At 40.0% G+C, this 27,152-nt stretch overlaps 1 protein-coding gene and 1 long non-coding RNA gene across 2 annotated transcripts in view, besides 1 other annotated feature; one reads left to right on the top strand and one right to left on the bottom strand.

The window, feature by feature from the left end:
- ZNF626 (zinc finger protein 626) overlaps positions 1–14,060 on the top strand; it is a 41,633-nt gene extending 27,573 nt beyond the window's left edge. The window contains exon 4 of the mRNA NM_001076675.3: positions 8,349–14,060. Within this exon, the coding sequence (NP_001070143.1) occupies positions 8,349–9,709 (1,361 nt within the window). The 3' untranslated portion in view covers positions 9,710–14,060. The remainder of the gene's footprint in view (positions 1–8,348) is intronic.
- Positions 14,061–15,903: 1,843 nt separating this feature from the next.
- Positions 15,904–22,743, bottom strand: LOC105372318 (uncharacterized). The gene is made up of 2 exons (XR_936412.4): positions 22,144–22,743; positions 15,904–18,940 (listed from the first exon to the last, which is right to left on the bottom strand). It is a non-coding gene; the product is annotated as an uncharacterized LOC105372318 (long non-coding RNA).
- Positions 19,898–20,156: a silencer, noted in NCBI's record as "fragment chr19:20796649-20796907 (GRCh37/hg19 assembly coordinates)". NCBI's record gives its function as "represses an EF-1alpha promoter that drives an FKBP-Casp9 reporter gene in an ReSE screen in HepG2 liver carcinoma cells {active_cell/tissue: HepG2}" and the evidence as "EXISTENCE:reporter gene assay evidence [ECO:0000049][PMID:32094911]".
- Positions 22,744–27,152: the final 4,409 nt, after the last annotated feature.

The following is a 27,152-nucleotide window of genomic DNA, read 5'->3' as shown; positions in this document are numbered from 1 at the left end:
TAGCTTGTGTAACATTATTTTGACCCCTTCTCCTCTTGTTTTGATAATATTTACATGAGGGGGGAGGAGCCAAGATGGCCGAATAGGAACAGCTCTGGTCAACAGCTCCCAACGTGAGCGATATAGAAGATGGGTGATTTGTGCATTTCCAACTGGGGTACTGGGTTCATCTCACTGGGGAGTGCCAGACAGTAGGCGCAGGATGGTGGGTGCAGCGCACTGTGCACGAGCCAAAGCAGGGCGAGGCATCGCCTCACCCAGGAAGTGCAAGGGGTCAGGGAATTCCCTTTCCTAGTCAAAGAAAAGGGTGACAGATGGCAACTGGAAAATTTGGTCACTCCCACCCTAATACTGCGCTTTTCCAACGGGCTTAAAAAACGGCACACCAGGATATTATATCCCTCACCCAGCTCAGAGGGTCCTACGCCAATGGAGTCTCACTCATTGCTAGCACAGCAGCCCGAGATCAAACTGCAAGGCAGCAGCGAGGCTGGGCGAGGGGCGCCCACCATTGCCGAGTTAGTTGTTTGATTAGGTAAACAAAGCAGCCGGGAAGCTCAAACTGGGTGGAGCCCACCACAGCTCAAGGAGGCCTGCCTGCCTCTTAGGCTCCACCTCTGGGGGCAGGGCACAGACAAACAAAAAGACAGCAGTAACCTCTGCAGACTTAAATGTCCCTCTCTGACAGCTTTGAAGAGAGTAGTGGTTCTCCCAGCATGCAGCTTGAGATCTGAGAATGGGCAGACTGCCTTCTCAAGTGGGTCCCTGACCCCCAAGTAGCCTAACTGGGAGGCACCCCCCAGTAGGGGTGGACTGACACCTGACACGGCCGGGTACTCCTCTGAGACAAAACTTCCAGAGGAACGATCAGGCAGCAGTATCTGCGGTTCAGCAAAATCCGCTGTTCTGCAGCCACCGCTGCTGATACCCAGGCAAACAGTGTCTGGAGTGGACCTCCAGCAAACTTCAACAGACCTGCAGCTGAGGGTCCTGTCTGTTAGAAGGAAAACTAACAAAGAGAAAGGACATCCACACCAAAAACCCATCTGTACATCACCATCATCAAAGACCAAAGGTAGATAAAACCACAAAGATGGGAAAAAAACAGAGCAGAAAAACTGGAAACTCTAAAAATCCGAGCGCCTCTCTTCCTCCAAAGGAACGCAGCTCCTCACCAGGAACAGAACAAAGCTGGACAGAGAATGACTTTGACGAGTTGAGAGAAGGCTTCAGATGATCAAACTATTCCAAGCTACAGGAGGAAATTCGAACTAATGGCAAAGAAGTTAAAGGCTTTGAAAAAAAATTAGACGAATAGATAACTAGAATAACCAATGCAGAGAAGTTCTTAAAGGACCTGATGGAGCTGAAAACCAAGGCACGAGAGCTATGTGACGAATGCAGAAGCCTCTGTAGCCGATGCGATCAACTGGAAGAAAGGGTATCAGCGATGGAAAATGAAATGAATGAAATGAAGCGAGAAGAGAAGTTTAGAGAAAAAAGAATAAAAAGAAACGAACAAAGCCTCCAAGAAATATGGGACTATGTGAAAAGACCAAATCTACATCTGATTGGTGTATCTAAAAGTGACGGGGAGAATGGAACCAAGTTGGAAAGCATTCTGCAGGATATTATCCAGGAGAACTTCCCCAATCTAGCAAGGCAGACCAACATTCAAATCAGGAAATACAGAGAACGCCACAAAGATACTCCTCGAGAAGAGGAATTCCAAGACACATAATTGTCAGATTCACCAAAGTTGAAATGAAGGAAAAAATGTTAAGAGCAGCCAGAGAGAAAGCTCGGGTTATCCACAAAGGGAAGCCCAGCAGACTAACAGCTGATCTCTTGGCAGAAACTCTACAAGCCAGAAGAGAGTGAGGATCAATATTCAACATTTTTAAAGAAAAGAATTTTCAACCCGGAATTTCATATCCAGCCAAACTAAGCTGCATAAGTGAAGGAGAAATAAAATACTTTACAGACAAGCAAATGCTGAGAGATTTTGTCACCACCAAGTCTGCCCTAAAGGAGCTCCTGAAGGAAGCACTAAACATGGAAAGGAGCAACCGGTACCAGCCGCTGCAAAATCATGCCAAAATGTAAAGACCATTGAGACTAGGAAGAAACTGCATGAACTAACGAGCAAAATAACCAGCTAACATCATAATGACAGGATCAAATTCACACATAACAATATTAACTTTAAATGTAAATGGGCTAAATGCTCCAATTAAAAGACACAGACTGGCAAATTGGATAAAGAGTCAAGACCCATCAGTGTGCTGTATTCAGGAAACCCATCTCACGTGCAGGGACACACATAGGCTCAAAATAAAGGGATGGATGAAGATCTACCAAGCAAATGGAAAACAAAAAAAAAGGCAGGGGTTGCAATCCTAGTCTCTGATAAAACAGACTTTAAACCAACAAAGATCAAAAGAGACAAAGAAGGCCATTACATAATGGTAAAGGGATCAATTCAACAAGAAGAGCTAACTATCCTAAATATATATGCACCCAATACAGGAGCACCCAGATTCATAAAGCAAGTTCTTAGTGACCTACAAAGAGACTTAGACTCCCACACAATAATAATGGGAGACTTTAACACTGCACTGTCAACGTTAGACAGAAAGTTAGACAGATCAACGAGACAGAAAGTTAACAAGGATACCCAGGAATTGAACTCAGCTCTGCACCAAGAGGACCTAATAGACATTTATAGAACTCTCCACCCCAAATCAACAGAATATACATTATTTTCAGCACCACACCACACCTACTTCAAAATTGACCACATAGTTGGAAGTAAAGCACTCCTCAGCAAATGTAAAAGAACAGAAATTATAACAAACTGTCTCTCAGACCACAGTGCAGTCAAACTAGAACTCAGGATTAAGAAACTCACTCAAAACCACTCAACTACATGGAAACTGAACAACCTGCTCCTGAATGACTACTGGGTAAATAATGAAATGAAGGCAGAAATAAAGATGTTCTTTGAAACCAACGAGAACAAAGACACAACATACCAGAATCTCTGGGACACATTCAAAGCAGTGTGTAGAGGGAAATTTATAGCACTAAATGCCCACAAGAGAAAGCAGGAAAGATCTAAAATTGACACCCTAACACCACAATTAACTAGAGAGGCAAGAGCAAACATTCAAAAGCTAGCAGAAGACAAGAAATAACTAAGATCAGAGCAGAACTGAAGGAAATAGAGACACAAAAAACCCTTCAAAAAAATCAATGAATCCAGAAGCTGGTTTTTCGAAAAGATCAACAAAATTGATAGACCACTAGCAAGACTAATAAAGAAGAAAAGAGAGAAGAATCAAATAGACACAATAAAAAATGATAAAGGGGATATCACCACCGATCCCACAGAAATACAAACTACCATCAGAGAATACTATAAACACCTCTATGCAAATAAACTAGAAAATCTAGAAGAAATGGATAAATTCCTCGACACATACATCCTCCCAAGACTAAACCAGGAAGAAGCTGAATCTCTGAATAGACCAATAATAGGAGCTGAAATTGAGGCAATAATCAATAGCTTACCAATCAAAAAAAGTTCAGGACCAGATGGATTCACAGCCGAATTCTACCAGAGGTACAAAGAGGAGCTGGTACCATTCCTTCTGAAACTATTCCAACCAATAGAAAAAGAGGGAATCCTCCCTAACTCATTTTGTGAGGCCAGCATCATCCTGATACCAAAGCCTGGCAGAGACCCAACCAAAAAAGAGAATTTTCGACCAATATCCTTGATGAACATCGATGCAAAAATCCTCAATAAAATACTGGCAAACCGAATCCAGCAGCACATAAAAAAGCTTATCCACCATGATCAAATGGGCTTCATCCCTGGGATGCAAGGCTGGTTCGACATACGCAAATCAATAAACATACTCCAGCATATAAACAGAACCAAAGACAAAAACCACATGATTATCTCAATAGATACAGAAAAGGCCTTTCACAAAATTCAACAACACTTCATACTAAAAACTCTCAATAAATTAGGTATTGATGGGTCTTATCTCAAAATAATAAGAGCTATCTATGACAAACCCACAGCCAATATCATACTGAACGGGCAAAAACTGGAAGCATGTCCTTTGAAAACTGGCACAAGACAGGGATGCCCTCTCTCACCACTCCTATTCAACATAGTGTTGGAAGTTCTGGCCAGGGCAATCAGGCAGGAGAAGGAAATAAAGTGTATTCAATTAGGAAAAGAGGAAGTCAAATTGTCCCTGTTTGCAGATGACATGATTGTATATCTAGAAAACCCCATTGTCTCAGCCCAAAATCTCCTTAAGCTGATAAGCAACTTCAGCAAAGTCTCAGGATACAAAATCAATGTACAAAAATCACAAGCATTCTTATATACCAATAACAGACAGAGAGCCAAATCATGAGTAAACTCCCATTCACAATTGCATCAAAGAGAATAAAATACCTAGGAATCCACCTTACAAGGGATGTGAAGGACCTCTTCAAGGAGGACTACAAACCACTGCTCAGTGAAATAAAAGAGGATACAAACAAATGGAAGAACATTCCATGCTCATGAATAGGAAGAATCAATATCGTGAAAATAGCCATACAGCCCAGGGTAATTTATAGATTCAATGCCATCCCCATCAAGCTACCGATGACTTTCTTCACAGAATTGGAAAAAACTACTTTAAAGTTCATATGAAACCAAAAAGAGCCCGCATCCCCAAGTCAATCCTAAGCCAAAAGAATAAAGCTGGAGGCATCACACTACCTGACTTCAAACTATACTACAAGGCTACAGTAACCAAAACAGCATGGTACTGGTACCAAACCAGAGATATAGACCAATGGAACAGAACAGAGCCCTCAGAAATAATGCCGCTTACCTACAACTATCTGACCTTTGACAAACCTGACAAAAACAAGCAATGGGGAAAGGATTCCCTATTTAATAAATGGTGCTGGGAAAACTGGCTAGCCATATGTAGAAAGGTGAAACTGGATCCGTTCCTTACACCTTATACAAAAATTAATTCAAGATGGATTAAAGACTTAAATGTTAGACCTAAAACCATAAAAACCCTAGAAGAAAACCTAGGCAGTACCATTCAGGACATAGGCATGGGCAAGGGCTTCATGTCTAAAACACCAAAAGCAATGGCAACGAAAGCCAAAATTGACAAATGGGATCTAATTAAACTAAAGAGGTTCTGCACAGCAAAAGAAACCACCATCAGAGTGAACAGGCAACCTACAGAATGGGAGAAAATTTTTGCAACCTGCTCATCTGACAAAGGGCAAATATCCAGAATCTACAATGAACTCAGACAAGTTTACAAGAAAAAAACAAACAGCCCCATCTTTTTGATGGGCGAAGGATATGAACAGACACTTCTCAAAAGAAGACATTTATGCAGCCAAAAAAACAGATGAAAAAATGCTGATAATTACTGGCCATCAGAGAAATGCAAATCAAAACCACAATGAGATACCATCTCACACCAGTTAGAATGGCAATCATTAAAAAGTCAGGAAACAACAGGTGCTGGAGAGGATGTGGAGAAATAGGAACACTTTTACACTGTTGGTGGGACTGTAAACTAGTTCAACCATTGTGGAAGTCAGTGTGGTGATTCCTCAGGGATCTAGAACTAGAAATACCATTTGATCCAGCCATCCCATTACTGGGTATATACCCAAAGGATTATAAATCATGCTGCTATAAAGACACATGGACATGTATGTTTATTGCAGCACTATTCACAATAGCAAAGACTTGGAACCAACCTAAATGTCCAACAACGATAGACTGGATTAGGAAAATGTGGCACATACACACCATGGAATACTATGCAGCCATAAAAAATGATGAGTTCATGTCCTTTGTAGGGACATGGATGAAACTGGAAACCATCATTCTCAGCAAACTATCGCAAGGACAAAAAACCAAACACCGCATGTTCTCACTAATAGGTGGGAATTGAACAATGAGAATACATGGACACAGGAAGGGAAACATCACACACCGGGGACTGTTGTGGCGTCAGGGGCAGGGGGAGGGATAGCATTGGGAGATACACCTAATGCTAAATGACGAGTTAATGGGTGCAACACACCAACATGGCACAAGTATACATATGTAACAAACCTGCACGTTGTGCACATGTACCCTAAAACTTAAAGTGTAATAATAATAAAATTTAAAAATATATTTACATGAAATTCTACTTCTGTCTTGCCACTTTCAGTCTTTTTTTGTCAGTAGATCTCAACTGACTCCTGTAGAAAGGCAAGTTGACTCTTGATTTTTAAAATTTTTTAATAAACCTGTTTATTGAAAGTATATCTCTTGATTGGAAAGATAATTATATATATATTTAAATGGTTTTCTGAAAGAGAAAAACTTACTAATGTTATTTTATTATTTGTTTTATTTGATTCTTATATCTTTGTCTTTCCTTTTCTTTCTGTGGTTTTCGTGGTTTTTTGCTTTTTGTATTGGTATTTTTCCAGGATTTTTTAAATTTTCTTTTGTGTATCCATACAAATATTTTCTTAGTGGTACTTTGGGAGATTACATAAAACCTCTAAAAGATCCAACAATATATTTGAATGTGGTAAAAAATAAACTTCAGTTGAATACAAAAATTCTTCATCATTACATCTGCCTACATTACAGCTCCTAAAATTCTCTTCTTATCTATGATTTTTGAAGGTTTGCTTGTATGTGTGTTTGTTACAAATATCTTTGTGTGTATCCTAGTTTGTTTCTTCAGCTTTTTCATGTTTACATCATTTTTCCTTTTAAGAAATTTTTCAATTGTTTTTTGCATTTTTTATATCCACAATTTTTGTTTTTTTGCTATTTCAATATTTCTTATTATTATCCTCATTTTTATCTTCAGTACTTGTTTGTTTCACTTACCTAATGTTATTCAAATTTATTTATTTAGTTAGTTTTTCTGAGATGGAGTCTTTTTCTGTCACCCAGGCTCTGGAGTGCAGTGGCGCCATCTCAGCTCATAGCTACCTCTGCCTCCCGAGTTCAAGCAATTCTCCGGCCTCTGTCTCCCAAGTAGCTGGGGTTACAGGTGGCTGCCAGCATTCCAGCTAATTTTTTGTATTTTTAGCAGAGATGGGTTTTTACCATGTTGGCCAGGCTAATTTTGGACTCCTGACCTCAAATTAGGAGGCCAAGGTGGCCTCCTAAGTTGCTGCGATTACAGGCATGAGCCATTGCGCCCAGCCTATTTTATTTTTGAGACAGTCTTGCTCTGTCATCCAGTCTGAAGTGCAGTGGTACAATATTCACTCACTGCAACTGTCCCCTCCCAGGTTCAAGCAATTCTTGTGTTGTGTGTCAGCCTCCCAAGTAGCTGGGATTACAGGCACATGCCACCATGCCCAGCTAGTTTTTGTATTTTTAGTAGATACAGGGTTTCACCATGTTGGCCAGGCTGGTCTCAAATTCTCACCTAATGTGGTTTTCCCACCTTGGCCCCCTAGTGTGTTGGGATTCCAGGAATGAGCCACTAAGCTTGACCTGTACAACTTATTGGGAATTTTTTAAATTACCTCATATACATTTTATGGTTGCTTTAAAAATTTTATAACTTTTTGATGGGATCACGTTGCTCTACTATTTTGTATTTATTGTAATCTTTGAGATTTTTACATTAACAAAATGCTACCTGTTACAATCTTTATAATGTAGCTGTGTCCTGGCATAGTCTGAAATCAATTGTCTTAACTAGAGATTCTGGGAATCTCAGCTCACTGTAACCTCCACCTCCCAGGTTCAAGCAGTTCTCTGCCTCAGCCTTCTGAGTAGCTGGGATTACAGGTGCCCCATCGCCACACCCAGCTAATTTTTTGTAATTTTAGTACAGATTGAATTTCATCATCTTTGCCAAGATGGTCTTGAACTCCTGACCTTCTGATCCACCCACGTCAGCCTCCCAACATGCTGGGACTACAGGCGTGTGTCACCCCAGCCAGTCAACAATTTACTTTTAAAGGCACAATGTTATACTGGAGAGCAAAACCAGCTGTGTTGTGTATAAGTAACAGACTTTTCTATTTCTTCTATTTGGCCGTTTGCATTGTGCTCACCTGGGGCCCTTCACAACTTATTATAAGTTTTTTACAAATGTATTTTGATCAGTATGTTTTTGTTAAATTCATATGTCCAGGAAGAAATTACAGCTTGTGGTATTTTCCTGTGTCATCTTGCTTATGTAGTTTGTATAAAACTATACAAACTGCATATATATATTTATATTTATCTGAGTCTACCAATTGAAGTAATGTGTTTTTATTGTTTCTTTCAGTAATGTGTTCTCATTTTGCCCAAGACCTTTGGCCAGAGCAGAGCATGAAAGATTCTTTCCAAAAAGTGGTACTGAGAAGATATGAAAAATGTGAACATGACAATTTACAGTTAAAAAAAGGATGTATAAGTGTGGATGAGTGTAAGGTGCACAAAGAAGGTTATAATGAACTTAACCAATGTTTGACAACTACCCCAAGAAAAATATGTCAATGTGATAAATATGTGAAAGTCCTTCATCAATTTCCAAATTCAAACGGACAAAAGAGAGGACATACTGGGAAAAAACCTTTCAAATATATAGAATGTGGCAAAGCTTTTAAGCAGTTCTCAACTCTTACTACACATAAGAAAATTCATACTGGAGGGAAACCCTACAAATGTGAAGAATGTGGCAAAGCCTTTAACCACTCTTGTAGCCTTACTAGACATAAGAAAATTCATACTGGAGAGAAACCCTACAAATGTGAAGAATGTGGCAAAGCCTTTAAGCACTCCTCCACTCTTACTACACATAAGAGAAATCATACTGGAGAGAAACCCTACAAGTGTGATAAATGTGGCAAAGCCTTTATGTCATCCTCAACCCTTAGTAAACATGAGATAATTCATACGGAAAAGAAACCCTACAAATGTGAAGAATGTGGCAAAGCCTTCAACCGGTCCTCAACCCTTACTACACATAAGATAATTCATACTGGAGAAAAACCCTACAAATGTGAAGAATGTGACAAAGCCTTTAAGTACTCCTATACCCTTACTACACATAAAAGAATTCATACTGAAGACAAACCCTACAAATGTGAAGAATGTGGCAAAGCCTTTAAGTACTCCTCTACCCTTACTACACATAAGAGAATTCATACTGGAGAGAAACCCTACAAATGTGAAGAATGTGGCAAAGCCTTCAAGCGGTCTTCAGACCTTACTACGCATAAGATAATTCATACTGGAGAGAAACCCTACAAATGTGAAGAATGTGGCAAAGCTTTTAAGTACTCCTCTAACCTTACTACACATAAGAAAATTCATACTGGAGAGAGACCCTACAAATGTGAAGAATGTGGCAAAGCCTTCAACCAGTCCTCAATCCTTACTACACATAGGAGAATTCATACTGGAGAGAAATTCTACAAATGTGAAGAATGTGGCAAAGCTTTTAAGTGCTCCTCTAACCTTACTACACATAAGAAAATTCATACTGGAGAGAGACCCTACAAATGTGAAGAATGTGGCAAAGCCTTCAACCAGTCCTCAATCCTTACTACACATGAGAGAATCATACTGGAGAGAAATTCTACAAATGTGAAGAATGTGGCAAAGCCTTCAAGCGGTCCTCACACCTTACTACACATAAGATAATTCATACTGGAGAGAAATTCTACAAATGTGAAGAATGTGACAAAGCTTTTAAGCATTTCTCTAACCTTACTACACATAAGAAAATTCATACTGGAAAAAAACCCTACAGATGTGAAGAATGTGGCAAAGCCTTTAAGCACTCCTCTAAACTTACTACACATAAGAGATTTCATACTGGAGAGAAACCCTACAGATGTGAATAATGTGGTAAAGCTTTTCACCTATCCTCACACCTTACTGCACATAAGATAATTCATACTGGAGAGAAACCATGTGAATGTGATGAATGGGGAAAATCTTTTAACCAGCCCTCAATTTCTAACTAAGAATTGATATGAAATATAAACTCTACAAATATAAAGAATGTGACAGATTTTTTAAGGAACTTCTCAACCTTTATTACACATAATTCATACTGGAAAGAAACCCTACAAGTGTGAAGAATGTGGCAAAGCATATAACAAGTTCTGTCTTTTTTTTTTTTTTTTTGAGATGGAGTTTCAACTCTTGTCACCCAGTCTGGTGTGCAATAGCACAGTCTCGGCTCACTGCAACCTCCGCCTTCTGGGTTCAATCCATTCTCCTGCCTCAACCTCCCAAGTAAGGGGGATTACAGGTGCCCACCCCCATGCCCAGCTAACTTTTGTATTTTTAGTAGAGACAAGGTTACACCATGTTTGTCAGGCTGGTATCCAACCCCTGACCTCACATGATCCACCCACCTCAGCCTCCTAAAGTGTTGCAATTACAGGCATGAGCCACCATGCCTGGCCACAAGTTCTTACTATTAAGAGACATGGTGATAATTCATTCTGAAGAGGAACTCTACAAACCTGAAAGATGTGACAGTGCTTTTTTCAACACTTCCATCCTTTCTATACATAAAAAATTTATACTAGTGTGAAACCCTAGAAATATATAAAATGTGAAACAGCCTTTATATGGTTGCCACATTTGATAGTAAGATAATTCATACTGGCAAAATTCCTACAAGCATGAAGAATGTGGCAAAACCTTTAATCAATGTGTACATCTTATTTTGCAGGAAAGCTATTATCCTTGAGAAAAATTGTACAAATATAAAGAATATGGAAAACCCATTAATGCCTACTCACATCTTACTCAACATAAGAAGGTTCATAGTTAATGAAAGCATTAAAAGTGCAATTACTGTCAAAAAATCTTTCAGAAAATATAAGCCTTTAAAGTGAAGAAGAGTATTTATTCTGAAGACAACCATTACAAATATACAGGAGGTTTATTACACACATTTTGTACTAGAGGAAAATCCTGAAGCAGTTGCTCAAGCTTTGCTCAACATCAGAGAACTTATATTGGAGAAGGGTCCTGCAAATGTAATGAATTTGGAAACACTTTAAAAAAAAAAAACTACAGCTTAGAAAACAGCAGAGTTTATACTAAAATATATTTTTGCAGATGCAGTAAACATGAAAAAATATTTAATTCAAAATTAATTGTATGTAAATATCAGAATTTACAGAATAACTAAGGCACTGACACTTCAGACATTACATTAAATAAGAGTGTTGAGTATATAAATGAATTCACAACTAAAGTTGTTAAATTTGTATATAAGTTTGTATAAATTAGTATATAACTTTAAAAGGAGATTTTTTGAAGCTTTGTATTTACATTGAAAGTATATTTGTTTCCTTGAAAACAATTTTTTTGAAAAGTGAATGATGTAATACAGCTTTCAAATTATGCTGTTACTTTATTATATTCACGTGAAAGTATGTGATCAATTGTTGCTGCATCAGAGATATTAGAGATTCTTTATGAGTTGGGCATTCTTTATGACCTTTTCTATAAAACAGTAAGGACATTAAAATGTAAGATGCATGACGAAAATATAAGTGGAGAGGCTCATTGTAGTTAACCTATATTAAGTAATGTTTAAGGTAGGTGTTCAGAGTAATACTTTTCTACATTATACTGAGAGAAAGAAATTATAAATTAAAGTATATCAATTATTTTACTAATTTTACTGTTACGTAATAAAATGCAATATATTTAAAAATTGTTAGATGATGTGTGAACTTAACTTATATTTTATTTACTTACTTAACTTTTCTTTTGAGATGGAGTCTTGCTCTGTCACCCAGGCTGGAGGGCAGCAGTGCAGTCTCAGCACAATGACTGCAACCTCCACCTCCCAAGTTCAAGAAATTCTCCTGCCTCAGCCTCCCGAGTAGTGGGGACTACAGGTGCGTGACACCACGCCTGGCTAATTTTTATATTTTTAATAGACATGGGGTTTCCCCATATTGGTCAGGCTAGTCTCAAACTCCTGAGCTCAAGCGATCCACCCACCTCAGGCTCTCAAAGTGTTGGGATTATAGGTGTGAGCCAATATGTCCAGCCTAATTTTATTTTATTTTTTACCATCTTAAAACTATTGTGCATTTAATGAAGCATTATTATGCCACTAACTTTAACCTATCCGGCCTTACTCAAATGGTGTAAGCAAAAGATGGAAGAAGTATACTATTTGGTATGTAGTGGAATGTCATCACTAGTAATCACTTTGCCAGTAAACTGCAAATGAAGAATATTGTTCCCGTTAGTTAAATTTTTAATCTTTTTTCTTAATTTATTATTACTATCTGTGAGTATATAGTATGTGTATATATGTCTTATAGAGAATATTTTGATTCAGGCATACAATATGTAGTAATTACATTAGGGTAAATAAGGTATCTGTCACCTCTAGCATTTATCCTTTCTAATCCAAACAGTGTAATTATACACTTTTAGTTACTTTTAAATGTCCAATTAAATTGTAATTGACTACAGGGTGATTTTTATGGTCATAATAAAAATTATACAGAAATATAAATAGAATATGGGCTGGACGCAGTGGCTCATGCCTGTAATCCCAGCACTTTGGTAGGCGACGTCGGGCAGATCATGAGGTCAGGAGTTCAAGACCAGCCTGACCAACATTGTGAAACTCTCTACTAAAACAACAAAAATTAGTTGGGCATGGTGGTGCACCCGTATTCCTAGCTACTCGGGAAGCTGAGGCAGGAGAATGGCTTGAACCTGGGAGGTGGAGGTTTCAGTGAGCTGAGATAGCACCACTGCACTCCAGCCTGGGTGACAGACGGACACTCCATCTCAAAAAGAAAGAAAAAAGCCAGGACAGTGGCTTACACCTGTAATCCCAGCACTTTGGGAGGCCCAGGCAGGTGGATCATGAGGTCAGGAGATCAAGACCATCCTGGCTAACACGTTGAAACCCTGTCTCTACTAAAAATAAATTAGCTGGGCGTGGTGGTGGGCGCCTGTAGTCCCAGCTACTCCAGAGGCTGAGGCGGGAGAATGGTGTAACCCAGGAGGCAGAGGTTGCAGTGAGCCGAGATCGTGCCACTGCACTCCAGCCTGGGCAACAGAGCAAGACTCCGTCACAAAAAAAAAAAGAAAAAATACGGCCATGTGCAGTGCCTCATGCCTATTATCCCAGCAATTTCGGAGGCTGAGGCAGGTGTGTTGCTTGAGCTCAGGAGTTCAAGACCAGCCTCGCCAATGTGGTGAAACCCTGTCTCTACTAAAAATAGAAAAATTAGCCAGTCATGGTGGCGCACACCTGGAGGCTGAGGTAGGAGAATCACTTGAACTTGGGAGGTGGAGATTGCAGTGAGCCAAGATTGTGCTGCTGCACTCCAGCCTGGGTGACAGAGTGATGAGACTCCTCAAAGGAAAAAAAATTACATTTCTGAGTCCTGAAAAATTATTAATAAATATTTGTTATATAGTTTCTTTGAACATGTGGTCACTCTGCCTGCAAACGTAAAGACTTTTAATTTTCATAGAGTGAAATATACACATATTCCTCTGAAGATAAACCTTAGGTGTAAGAAAATTATGAAATGAGTGTTTGGTAAATATGCATTTGTACATATTTTCAGAAGAAAACGCAATTATTGGAACAAAATAAGTTTTTAGGTGATTAATGGAAAACTAAACACCTTGAATATGCTGAAAGCAAATGTATACTTTCTGCTTTGTATGGAATTTATTAATATAAAATTTTATGGCTTATGGCTCGGATTCTCCCCAGAATCCGTGTATTAAAGCACAGGCAACTTTGTCTCCAGAAATAACACTCTTGAGTACAACAATAAAAGCCCTCTTCAAACACACTCAAAAAATTATTTTTAACGCTTATTTTAATAAAAATTTAACCAAAATTGAATAATTGGATACATTTTTATTGTTCTATGTGTGTGTGAATGTATAAAATGACACATAAAGGAATAATAATTTAAGCCAGAAAAAAAGATGTTAGTTAATATTTGTAATGAATAAAACTGGAAAGTAGTTATTATTTGCAGATGACATTTTTGTTTATGTAGATAACAAAAGCAGTAGAAAGACTATTTTAAAAGTTTATTCAGGTGGGTAGGCAACATTTTAAGATAATACCCTGGATTCCCAGTCTGTTGCGCACCTGCTGTGTAATACTCTCGAGTGTAAAAAAGTGTGTGACTGTGGTGGGACATCACTCATGAAATTACGTTACTCATCTGTTGACTTCGTGTTTACCAAAATGGAGATTATCCTGATTGTGCTAAACTTAATCAGAAGTGCTTTTAAGAGAAAGAGACACATCATAGAAAACACCCCTGCTGGCCTGAAAGTAAGTGACTTCTAGGTGAGCCATGTTGTAAGCTGCTTATGGTGGCCACATGGCAGGAAACGTATTTGTTTATTGTCATCATTCCTGCCTTCTGCATGTTGCTTCCAGTAGGGAGAATAAGAGGATCCTATGGCAGAGGGGAAAAAAAGGGAATCTCATTCATGCAAGAAATAATCACCTCTCACCTGGGATAGCTTAAGAAAAACAGGAGACCACAACAGGTCCACATTAATGAAAGGAAAAAGGTAACCTGGGTAAAAGTGCTCACTGGCATTATGGAACTACATTTAGTAAGCTGTAGTGAATGATCAGCCTCTGGGATACCAATAGTCTACCAACAAGGCTGAACTCATTCTAATTCAATCAGCATGTCTGCACCATTCTGGCGACCTAGTTTTATACTATTCATTACAGAAATACCATGAAGACCAGTGGGTAATGTCCTAGAGTTGAACTTACATCAAATCATACCTAACTGTTTTCATATTTGAAAAACCTTAAAAACAATGAATTCATAATTCTATTGTAAATGATTTTACTATACTGTAGTAAATGATTAAACTGTAAACAATATGAATAATTCTTGAAAGCATAATTATGTAGACAGTTTCTTTTAGATTAACATGATAAAACAATTAAAGAAAACATTCCAAATGGGATAAAATTAATCAAAACTGCATATTTTCAATGACTTGGCTTAATTATCATGCTTTTGGAAATGGCCAGATGACTAACAAGAAATAAAAACAAGATTTTGACTTTGCTCATTGTTTTTGACCTTTTGAAGTCTAAAATCCTGGCTAAAGTATTCAAAGGGAGTATTTTATAGTTGGCTTCCTGGGGTTTCCAATGCAATAAAGAATTTTGATAGGAAAATGCACACTATATACACATTGCTCTTCTCTGATTTGCTTTAACGCTGAAAAATTGAACATTTTAAATGTAGTCTCAACTTAGAGTAAATTAACAAAAGATTTGTTTTTCAAAAAAAGCAAATGTATAAAATTAATAGGTAACAGACACCATTAGCTGCTCAAAAATAGTATGACTAAATTCAGTAAGTAGCTATGCAAATATCAGCCCAATTAAATGAAGACCCTAATAGGTGCATGTGGAAAGCATTGCTGTGCAGTGTGGTGCCTCCACTCAGCATTTTCTTCTGCCTCTTTACAGAGAAACCAGTTTCCCCTGAGTGACTCAGGGTGCATACTGGGAACTGAGAATGCTGTGTTCAGAGTGATTACTGAAAACATGGTTAATACACTTCTTTCATATGATAATAAAATGTTACAAATCTTATTCTGCCTCAGAAAAGCTTTTAGTTAAAGATTATCTGTAGTACTCAATTTAGCTTAATGGAAAATGTAAGTACTCCAGATAATTCAGACACTTAATGAAATCCCATAAAACATATTTGAATAAGATAAAGTCTTCTTGGCTAACAATTTTATATTACAGGTAAATTTAGAAAAAAGTAGAAAAACAGTACTTTTATTGCAGTAAACTGAGGAATTAAGAGACCAATACGGAGTACAGGAGGATTTTTTATTTTAGTTGTGCACCGGCTCAGAGGATTCACATCCAAAAGCTGAGCATTGAACACAGAGTGGGGTTTTTATAAGCGGCCTTTCAGAAGCAAAACAAAAGCAGTTAATCATACAATGACAGGTCATGTAATCTATAGTATAACATTACTTGTGACCTAGCCAGTGGCCTTGTAGCTGCATTAGAAGGAAAACAAGAACTGGCGAAATACAGACATTTGTAAAACATAATCCTGCTTAAGAAGCCTGGGAAAAGAGTAACAGTAAAATAACTTGTCTTTCTCTTTTTTTTTTTTTCCTTCCTTCAACCTTGCTCTGGAAGGGAGGGGGGTGCCTGGAGTCCATTCCTTTGGCCTTGGCTGTACAGACAGCGTTATCTTCTAACTGTTCTTGAAGTGAGCTGCTAGGCAGAGGAAAACGTGTTCTTTTCTTTTTAATCCTTGTCTTGCCACATTCTGGGCCTTAGCTTTTACTTTTCTTGGAGTGAATAATTGTAATACTTATTATTTTTAAATGCTTGCCTCAGTTTCCCCTTTCTGATGCCTTTTATGAAAGAAGTTTAATAGAAGTCATCACTATTACTTAGTTCTGCCTGAAGAGACAAGTTTTCTTCTTTAGACAAAGCTTGATATTTACACAGAGTCATGAGCTGTGTGGTAGTTTGCCTAGCTACTATTTCCTCTATAGTTGATTGAATGCTTCTAACAAGCAGATGTAAGACACAAGGGAGTATTAGGCAGTTCCTAGTATGGCCAGAACCACCCTTATTAAAATCTTGAACCCTGTGAAAAATGAAAACCAGCCTCCAAAGAGAGAATCTGGGGACCACCCTTTCCAAGTTTGAACTGGAATATGGGCTAATTTTCTCATTCTTGCAGTTATTTCCATAATTGCTTTTCCATTGTCATCAATTTCCAGGCAACAATTAGTTAGATTGAACTTTCCTCATACTCCTCCTTCCTGGGCTAGGAGGTAATCTAAAGCTAATCTGTTCTGATAGTTAGCATTTCTCATTTTTGTGGTTTGCTGGGCCAGTAAATCTAATGCATTTGCTCTTTCATTCATGATGATTTCAAGTACTGCCTGCAACCTTATGATGTGGTTAAGCATGTAAATAGGAGTGCAGTATCCCCGTGACCCATCTTGTGCCCAGGTAGCTGGCCCATAGTGTTGAATTATTCTTTCAGGGGACTTCCCTATGTCTTCCCAATCTCCTATTTTTTATATATTTTTTATGGCTGCATCTCTTTTGTTTCTTCTTCTAACTTCATCATAGACAGGATACCCTAAAGTTTTCCCCTGTTGCAGTGGGAGCAGGAAGAAAGATGGTCTAATTGTTCCAAGCACACAGCCCCCTGTCCATTTAGCTGGCAACTGTCAATATGCTTGAGGCCCACAGATCCAGTAAAGACCGGGGGTGCTTGCCAAGTATTTGGAGCTGCAAGTTGATACCAAGTGTAATTTAGAGAAGAGAAATGGGAGAACGAATTTGGATGATGTGCTTTGTAGTCATCTCTGTCCCACCACAAAGTTTTCCTTAATGGTTCATTATAATATTGCTGTCCTAAGCAGGTTTGTTCTTCTACTGGGTCTGTAAAATCCTTTCCCCAGCAAGCAACACAGTATCTCCCAATAATAGAAGTTTTTAAGAGCCAGACGCTTGAACCTGTGGGCATCTGTTTGGGAAAAGAGTCAGTCAGAGTAAAGTTATCTTGAGGCATTAACTCTTTTACTTCCCAAGGCCATTGGTCTCCCATGTTAGTCCCTTCACAAACATAACATGAGGAAACGCCTAGGCTGCTGGCAGTGTTTTCAGCCAGCTGAGCAAATAGGTTTTTGCCTAAAGGAGGAGGCTCTGGTAACTTCTGGTTTATATGCTCAAAGAATGACTTAAAGACTCAGAATTGCTGCTGGGCTGACTGCTTGGTTTGAGTCCTCTTTAGAATATACAAAGTTATTTTAGTTTTTTGACCATAGCTTTGTAATGCAATGGAGTAACCTGTAGTCCATATAGGTAGATCTGGCTTTAAGATAGTAAGACTTACAGGATTGCAAGTGCTTGTCTTACAATCCAGTTTTGCTGGTACTTTGATGAGCAAGATTGGCTTTGACCTCGGTGATGATCAGTCAGTGAACTGCATTGTACAGTTCCAGCAAGCTATTGCTAGGGCCTTGGAAGGACAAACAGAGGGTGCACACACAATTTTGTACTGGCAGTTTGTATAGTACTCTGTAGGACCAGAGATTGTGAGATAGTTTGGGTTCATAGATGTTAACTGACAAATATCAAAGTATATGCATATAGCTCCAGGAAGAGAGGCTTGGGTTTGACCTATAAAACTTCTTTCCTTTGACTCAGTATGAATCTCCAACCGAGTCCCAGGTAAAGACTCAGGGTCACAGCATATATAAGGCTGACCATTTCTTGGGTCACAAATTGAATAGGTGGTCTGATTATAAGTACAAGTTCCTAATCGAGTCCCTGTACACTCATAAGTATAGTACAATAGGGTTCTAGTTATACTGTTCCCTAATCAAGTAGTATGTGTACAGTGGAGACACCCTTCTATAGGTGTTTATTCTAGAATGGTTAAGAGGAGTAACAACAACAAAACAATGTACAGCATATTCATATCCAGCAAGGGCAAAAGAGGTCCTCACCTGGGAAAAAGGTTGAGCACAGGGACAGAACAACAGTCAAACAGTTAGTATACAGTAAAACTACTAGTCCTAAGATTTCTAACTGCATTTACTTGCTTGATGAGTCCTCAAGCTTTGGCCGTGCATAGACTAGTCAGCTTCTGGTGTGTGACTAGAGCAGGGCTTGTTGTTTCCTCAAGCTTCAGCCATGCATAGACTGGTCAGCCTCTGGAGTGACCAGAGCAGGGCTGTTGTCCTCAGCAGCAGCTTGGTCTCGCCTCAGGATCAGCCAGGTTGGATGATCTGGGTCCTGCTGGCTGGTTCACTTGTCCTGAGCTGCCGGTTTTAGCCGACTGTGGTGGATCCAAGACACAGCACCTGAAACTTTAACAGCAGTGGGAGTGGACAAGATTACAGTAGAGGGCTCATCCTATTTGAGTCCTAGAGAAATTAGATTCTACTTTTTAACCTAAACAGTCACCAGATTTAAAGGGGTGTCAGGCTTATAGGCATTTTCATGTACCTAATTCTAAACACTTTGTATGGCTATTCCTAAAGCCTGCATCTCTTTCTTAAGGTTAATTCCCCTACTTACTGGAGGGCACCTTTAATTTGACTTTTGATTTGGGGGTGCCTGACTGAACAAAATCTTACTGGGCAAATACCCAATTTGTTTGGTGGGGGTGCACCTGACTTGGAGGAGGATCATATGCAAACACCTGATTCTATCTCAAATGAATTTCCTGGCAATATTTCTTCAGTAGCTATTTGAGTGTCTGGTTCATGCATTCCACCTTTTCCTGAAATTTGCAGCTAATAGGCTGTATGTAACTTCCATTTTATTTTTAACAGTCTTGTTAAATCTTGCACTATTTCAGCTAGAAATGCCAGTCCATTGTCTGACTTTAAAGTTAGAGACAGTCCAAACCTGAGGATAATGCCTTTAACTTCTAATGTGACCATGGGCTCCTGGAAGCCTAGTGAGAAGGTGCCCGATCTGTCTTAGTCTTTACATCCTTCAGCTCCTGGCAGCCCAATCAGATCAGTATTTGGTTCCTCAAAGGTGCGGCAGCCCTTGACCGATGGCCTCTTTGTCTCGCTGCCTTAGCCATTTCCGTCATTGCCTTCTGAACATTCATCTTTCCAGGGTCCTTTCTTTTTGCTTCTCATACATTAATCTCTTTCCAGCCTTGTCCGGCTCTTGAATTTCTGCCTAACTTGACTTCTTCCATGTCTGCGTCCACGTCCAAGTCCTCTCACATTGCTAATCTCTCTTTCCATAAGAGCTGTTGCCAACAGACTGGCCTTTTTCTTAAACTTTCAATTTACTTTCCTTTTTCCTTCCTGAGTTCTCCTGCTTCTGCAGCCAGCGGTGGGTCTGGGCAAGAGTACGGACCCTACTGACACGCTTGCTGTCTGTCTCTCCTGTTTCTTTCTGATTTCCGTTTTACTTTCTTCTTTCCCTTCTCACACTCTTTCTCCTTACCTTCTCCTTCGCTCTTCTCCCAGTGCCAGTCTCCACCCTCGTCTCGTTCCAAATAGAGCCGGGCTGGGGAGAGGGAGTTAACCCTTGGAATGCCTAGCTGCCACACTTGTTGCTTTTGCATATTGTTCCCTGGTCACAGTTAACATACACCTTGGCCACTTTTATAGACTGGGTGGTATTCATGCCTGCAGCTTCCCCTTGATGTCACCCTGGGCTTGGCTTACAAATGCTGTATTCACCACAGGCTGATTTTCAGCAACCTCAGTGTTAAATGAGGTATAAAGGCAGAATACTTCACAGAGTCTCTTATAAAACTAACTTGGGCTCTTGTCAGCTCCCTGAAGCATTTCTGAAATCTTCCTTATATTAATTGCTTTCCTTCCACCAGCTCTTAGGCCCTGCAGAAGTGCCTCTCGGTGCCTCTGCAAACGCTGAAGCTGAGTTGCATCCTCCGGGTCCCAGTTGGGGTCTTGGTCTGGGAACTGACCCTGAGCGTATGCCTGAGCATTCACTATGTCTGTTGGTGCATGGGCTTCTAGCCAGCGGAGAGCCACCTGTGTCATCCTCTGGCACTCTTTAATGTTAAACAACATTAGGAAAAGCTGCCTGCAATCTGGCCAGGTCGTATTGTGTGTCAGAAAGAGGAATTGCATCAGATCTATAAGAACTTGAGGCTTCTCCATGTTGGACAGTGTATGGTGTTTTCAGTTTAGTAGATCAGTAATTGAAAAGGGCTGATAGATATAAGTCCATTGCCCCCCTCTGGATGTGGCCCTGGTCATCATAATAGATAGGTCCTATCTTCTCCCTGAGAGGCATTTGCACAGCTTGAGCATGGCCAGATCTGAAATGGCCCACTTGACTGTCTTGACTTCCTTCCCTAGCCTCTCAAGGGCCTGATCCTCCCCTTCGAGGAAAGACCTGGGGCGTGTTAGCTCCTGAATCTTGTTCCTGGGGGGGCTGTTGGCCTCGGTAAAGGGGGGTAGGCTGGGACATATGGAGGAAGAACTTCTGTTTCCTCTGGCAGCTCCTGCAAAACTGGCTTCTCTTGCTTTCTCTGGGACTCCCCGTTTAACTCTGTATCTGCCAGTGAAGCTGCTCTTACTTTCACTTTTGGCTTTTTTTGCAATAAGCCATTAAACAGGGCTGGATCTATGCTGGTTTTGTCTATATTATATTTAACCACGAGTCAATATAAAGGAATTTCATCTGGGTACACTGGCAGTCCTCCACCCCCTGTCACCACCCTAAATACATGGCCAATTTTTCCGTCTATAGTTCGTTTGCTCCGCCATCCAACACCAAAAGAGGGCCATTCTAATTCACAGAAAGTTCTCAACCTCTGAGGGGGTTAACTTAACTCTATAATCTATAATCTTAACTCTATAATCTTAATCTTAACTCTATAACCCCTGCAAAACCTTTCTTAAGGTTCTGTAACATGCACGCCAAGTTTTGATGTTTTGATGACTTTCCTCGCACTCCTCCCTTTACGACGCAGCACATTCACTCTTGCACACTCACTCTTCCTCTCATTTTAGCCGACTACACTGTCTCTTACTACAGGAGTTTTCAGATGCTGCTTGGCTTTGGAGAAGTCCTTATTCCCGCTACAACTCTGAGCTGTAGGGCAGTTTCTATTAGCTGTATGTAGATTGCCACTAGTCTTAGTCGACCCCACACTTTCTTGGAGCACACAGTCCACGCTGAGAGATCTGTGACTCCCCACTTCCCAGCTGATGAGCCTAATTAGTCCCCTCCATTCACATACTTTCACACATTTTCAGTTCCCATGTTCATAACTGGGGTGGTGAGCCACTCCCGCCCCCTCTAGTTTCACAGTTGGTGTGGCGAGCCACTCTTGCCCCCTCTAGTTCCCAGTTGGGGTGGTGAGCCTCTGTCACCACCTCCAGTTTCCTAGGCAACTTAGTGAACCACTTTCATGTCCTGTGTCAGCAGGTTGTGAGTTTCATCCGAATCGATGAGCCACTCCCATTGCCCTGAGCCCCTCTGGGTCCGATTATTTGGCATACCCCAGGAGGTGATCAGGCTCCCCTTCTGTCCAAGGGACAGGTCCTGCCTTGGGCCCCCAAAACCTTACCGTGCTTCCTGAAGCACGCTGTTTCTGAAATTGTCCTGTAGCTCCTCTTTAGGTTCTATTGCACTGCTGGGTAGGGGGCACTGGGTGAAAAGACAGCTGATCTCCCCTCCGGGCTGAAGTTCTCCCAGTGGCACCTGGGGCCACAGGTTTCCCGAGGCTCACGCTCCAGTCCCCAGAGGCAAAGGAGACAGTAAGCCTGCCCTCTCTGGTCCCTTCGTGGTCACCAAAAATGTTGTGGTAAATTGAGGAATGAAGAAACCAATACGGAGTACCGAAGGGCTTGTTTATTTTAGTTATGCACCGGCTCAGAGGATTCACATCCAAAAGCTGAGCATTGAACAAAGACAGAGTGGGGTTTTTAGAAGCAGCATTCCAGAAGCAAAAGAATAGCAGTTAATCATACAGTGACAGGTCACGTAATCTATAGCGTAATATAACTTGTGACCTAGCCGGTGGCCTTGTAGCTGCATTAGAAGAAAAACAAGAACTGGCTAAATACAGACATTTGTAAAACATAATCATGCTTAAGAAGCCTGGGAAAAGAGTAATAGTAAAAGAACCTATCTTTCTCTTTGTTTTTTCCTTCAACCTTGCTCTGAAAGGGAGGTGGATGTCTGGAGCCCATTCCTTTGGCCTTGGCTATTCAGACAGTATTATCTTCTAACTGTCCTTGAAGTGAGCTGCTAGGCAGAGGCAAACTTGTTCTTTTCTTTTTAACTCTTGCCTTACCACATTGTGGGCCTTAGCTTTTACTTTTCTTGGGGTGAACAAATGCAGTACCTATTATTTTTAAACTTCTGCCTCACTTTAAGCCAAATAACAGTGTTTGACACGTGAGTCGCACCCAAACAAGTGCTCTTCATGATCATTGTTAAAGCAGCAATAGCAACATGTGCTTTCCTGGGACCTGCTGGCCTGTTTTCCACTGATATAAAGTGGAGAAGGGATTGAAATAGCAAAGGAGGGTGATATAAATTGAATACCTATATGAAATACAATTTTAAATGAAAAACAGCATTTGATGTTGTACAACTCTAAGTGAGACTGTTAGTGCGAGATCATATTTTTACTTGTATTGACAAAATAACCATTCACAATATTCTTATTTAGAATAATATTCCATTTCTCTTGTATATTTGCTAGCTTTTGATCAAATATTTTGGGAACTCAATAGAAATTAACAAAATGAATCTTTATTTTACCCCAAGAATTACTGATGCATATGCTTGTTTTTCTTAAAATTCATTAGCTTTTTATGAAAGATTTATACTTTATTTTCAGTGTGTTGTTTATTGCTTAGAAGTGGCTGTCCTGCCAGAAAACTGCTATTCTCAGCTATACCCACATTGACTAATAGTGAGTGGAAATGAAGTGGGTAAAAAGCAAATTGTCTTCTCTGTATCTTTTTTCACCCTTTGACTGGAGAACAGAGGGATGCAGAAAATGAAAGCATATATAATCCCTGAAAGATCATGAAGAAGCTCTCTTAACCAGACCAAAACCCAGTAGGGGGATTTTTTTTTTTTCTCATTATTGTATTCTCTGCTTCTATGAGTTAAATTTTTTTTTTTTTTTTTTTTTTGAGATGGAGTCTCACTCTGTTGACCAGGCTGGAGTGCAGTGGCCTGATCTCGGCTTACTGCTACCTCCACCTCCCAGATTCAAGCAATTCTCTTGCCTCAGCCTCCTGAGTAGCTGGGATTACAGGTGCATACCACCACACCTGGCTAATTTTTGTATTTTTAGTAGAGACAGGGTTTCACCATGTTGGTCAGGCTGGTCTCAAATGCCTGACCTTGTGATTTGCCCACTTTGGCCTCCCAAAGTGCTGAAATTACATGCGTGAGCCACTGTGCCTGGCGAGTTTAAATTTTTTTCACACTTTACATAGATGTTGGATTATGTGGGCTGGGCACAGTGGCTCATGCCTGTAATCCCACCACTTTGGGGGGCCGAGGTGGGTGGACCACTTGAGGTCAGGAGTTTGAGACCAGCCTGGCCAATATGGCAAAACCCTGTCTCTACTAAAAATATAAAAATTAACCAGACATGGTGGTGGGCACCTGTAATCGCAGGTACTGGGGAGGCTGAGGCAGGAAAATCGCTTGAACCCAGGAGACGGAGGTTGCAGTGAGCCAAGATGGTGCCTCTGCACCACTGCCTGCCTGGGCAACAAGAGGGAAACTCCATCTCTTTTCTGTGCTGGCTTATTTTACTTAGCATATCATTCAGGTTCATGAATGTTGTTGCAAATAACAAGACTTCCTTATTTTTAAGGGCTGAATAAAATTGCATTGTGTACATATACCACACTTTCTTTCTCCATTTACCTGCTGATGCACATTTAGGTTGATTCCATACCTTAGCTATTGTGAGTAATCCACTTCCTTCCCTTTTGTTTATTTTTTTGTTTTGTTTGAGAAGGAGTCTCATTCTGTCACTCAAGCTGGAGTGCAGTGCAGCAATCTTGGCGCACTGCAACATCCACCTCCTGGGTTCAAGTGATTCTAGTGCCTCAGCCTCCCAAGTAGCTGAGATTACAGGTGTGCACCACCACACTTGACTAATTTTTGTATTTTTAGTAGAGGCAGGCTTTCACCATGTTGACCAGGCTGTCTTTCATTTGTTTGTATATTTCTTTCTTCCTTTCCTTTTTTATTTCTAGAAGCATTTTAATTTTAAAATATAAATTATGAAAGTTAAACACCTCCATTTCTCTGTCTTTGATTACTATTATGGCTGATGAAAAAATAAGTTTTTTTGAAATTCCCTGGATAAACGTTATTACTTCATTATTAACATAATGAGATAATATAGAAATGAAAATGAACATTTGTTAGTAAAACAGCAATTATCTAGCTCCTGGTAGTCATTTAATCTCTCACCCGCTCTTTAGAACTTCTATCAAGACAAGAACTCTATTTTTTTCCAAGAGTGTGTGATGTAAAATCACAGTCTTATCTTTTTGTCTTTGTGGCAGGAGTCAGGTATTTATGGTAATAAAAAAGAAGTCTAGATCTTTTTAGTAGACAGATGGTGATGATGGAAGCAAATATAATGGTACATGGTACTTGGCTACATTTCAAATGGGTGATAGTGAACATTCACTGAAGTGTCACAGGTGGCTCTTATATTCCAGATCAAATCTTTGTGAGGAAGGCTCAGCCCACTTGTGTCAAGCATTTCTGGCAGTTCCTAGATACATGGAAAAAACTCACTGCGCTTGTTTAATGAGACCAGAATTAAAAACACCCAGGTGCCAGGTTATTAAAAACATTTTTACCCTTATGGAAAAAAATGTGATGTGGCATGTGGCTTGGTTTGAATAAATCTTCACTGAGCTAAGTAGCTGATTGGATTTACCTAACCTGTAGGAAAAGAAAATGGAAATCACCTCTGAACAAGTTTATTTTATAGGCTTCTTTCTGTACATAGAGATATAAAATACGTGGCTAGATAAACATATACACACAAATTGAGTCACATGGGTATGTCTACGTAATGTTAATTTGTGCATAGGTCCCTCAAAAAAAAGCCTCAGAAATAAAGTAGGTCAGATGACATCTCCACATTCTACCCCTGAAGCTGAGGTAACTTAAATAAGCAAATTAGCAGAGCCTGGGTGATTCCAATCAGCCAATTTGCATAGCCCAGGTGATTCCAACCAGCCAAGTAGCTCAGCCCAGGGCAAACCAATCATACAAATATTTGAATAGTGATTGTGGCTTTATTAAGGCAGGCCCCAAATGGTGGATGTGAACAGAACACACACACTCTGAGGAGACATGCAGGGTGCTGGAATACTAACCTGGACAGATGAGTTACATGGCTTTATTCTCAGTTTATTTCTGCGGCTTTGCCCTTGAAGATAAAGCTTTGTTGATATTTACATAAACAACATTGTATGGTTATGTTCTATTTAGCATGTTATTTACATTATTTAGCAAGAGAAAAAAAATGATTCTACATCAGCATCTTTAGTGCATGTTAGAAGATTAAAAATGTCTTTTGGGGAACGTGTTTTGTATACATAAATATTTAGATAGAAATATTTATAGAATTCTCTATGTGTTTGTCTTCTTATGTATATTTATATCTAGATGTATCAATCTTTGTATTGATATGCATTACTATGAATATAGTAAGATAAAAAGTAACTTCCCCCCAGGCGCGGTGGTTCACGCCTATAATCCCAGCATTTTGGGAGGTGGAGGAGGGCAGATCACCTGCGGTCAGGAGTTCGAGACCAGCCTGGCCAACATGGTGAAACCTCGTCTCTACTAAAAATACAAAAATTAGCCAGGCAGGGTGGTGGGTGAAGGAACCCCAGTTACTTGGAGGGCTGAGGTGAGAGAATCGCTTGTACCCGGGAGGCAGAGGTTGCAGTGAGCTGAGATTGCGCCACTGCACTCCAGCCTGGGTGACACAGTGCAACTCCATCTCAAGAAACAAAAACAAAAACAAAACGAAAAAAAGTAACTTCCATACATGTATAAGTTTATCTGCCCTATAAACAATATCACAAATATTACACAAATAAAAATATGTTCTAACATACATCCTGCCACATTTAACATATATGAAAAAAGCATTTTTTGTTGTTTCTTGCTTCTGGGAGATAATGCACTAAGGGGCCAGGTGCGATGGCTTGCGTCTGTAATCCCAGCACTTTGGGAAGCTAAGGCGGGTGGATCACCTGAAATCAAGAGTTAGAGACCAGCCTGATCACCATGGCGAAACCCCATCTCTGTTAAAAATAGAAAATTAGCCAGGCATGGTGGTGCATGCCTGTAATCCCAGCTACTCAGGAGGCTGAGACAGGAGAATCGCTTGAACCCGGGAGGCGGAGGTTGTGGTGAGCCAAGATCATGCGATTACACTCCAGCCTGGGCCAAACGAGGGAAACTCCATCTCAAAAAAAAAAAAAAAATTGCACTAAGGCAATGGAAGTCGTTCATTGCCATGTCAATGTTGATCCTTCTGTTTCTGTTACACATGGGGCCAAAGTT

This window comes from Homo sapiens, chromosome 19, assembly GCF_000001405.40.
Source record: "Homo sapiens chromosome 19, GRCh38.p14 Primary Assembly".
In the NCBI taxonomy this organism is placed as follows: domain Eukaryota; kingdom Metazoa; phylum Chordata; class Mammalia; order Primates; family Hominidae; genus Homo; species Homo sapiens.
This window is presented reverse-complemented; position numbering and strand designations above follow the sequence as displayed.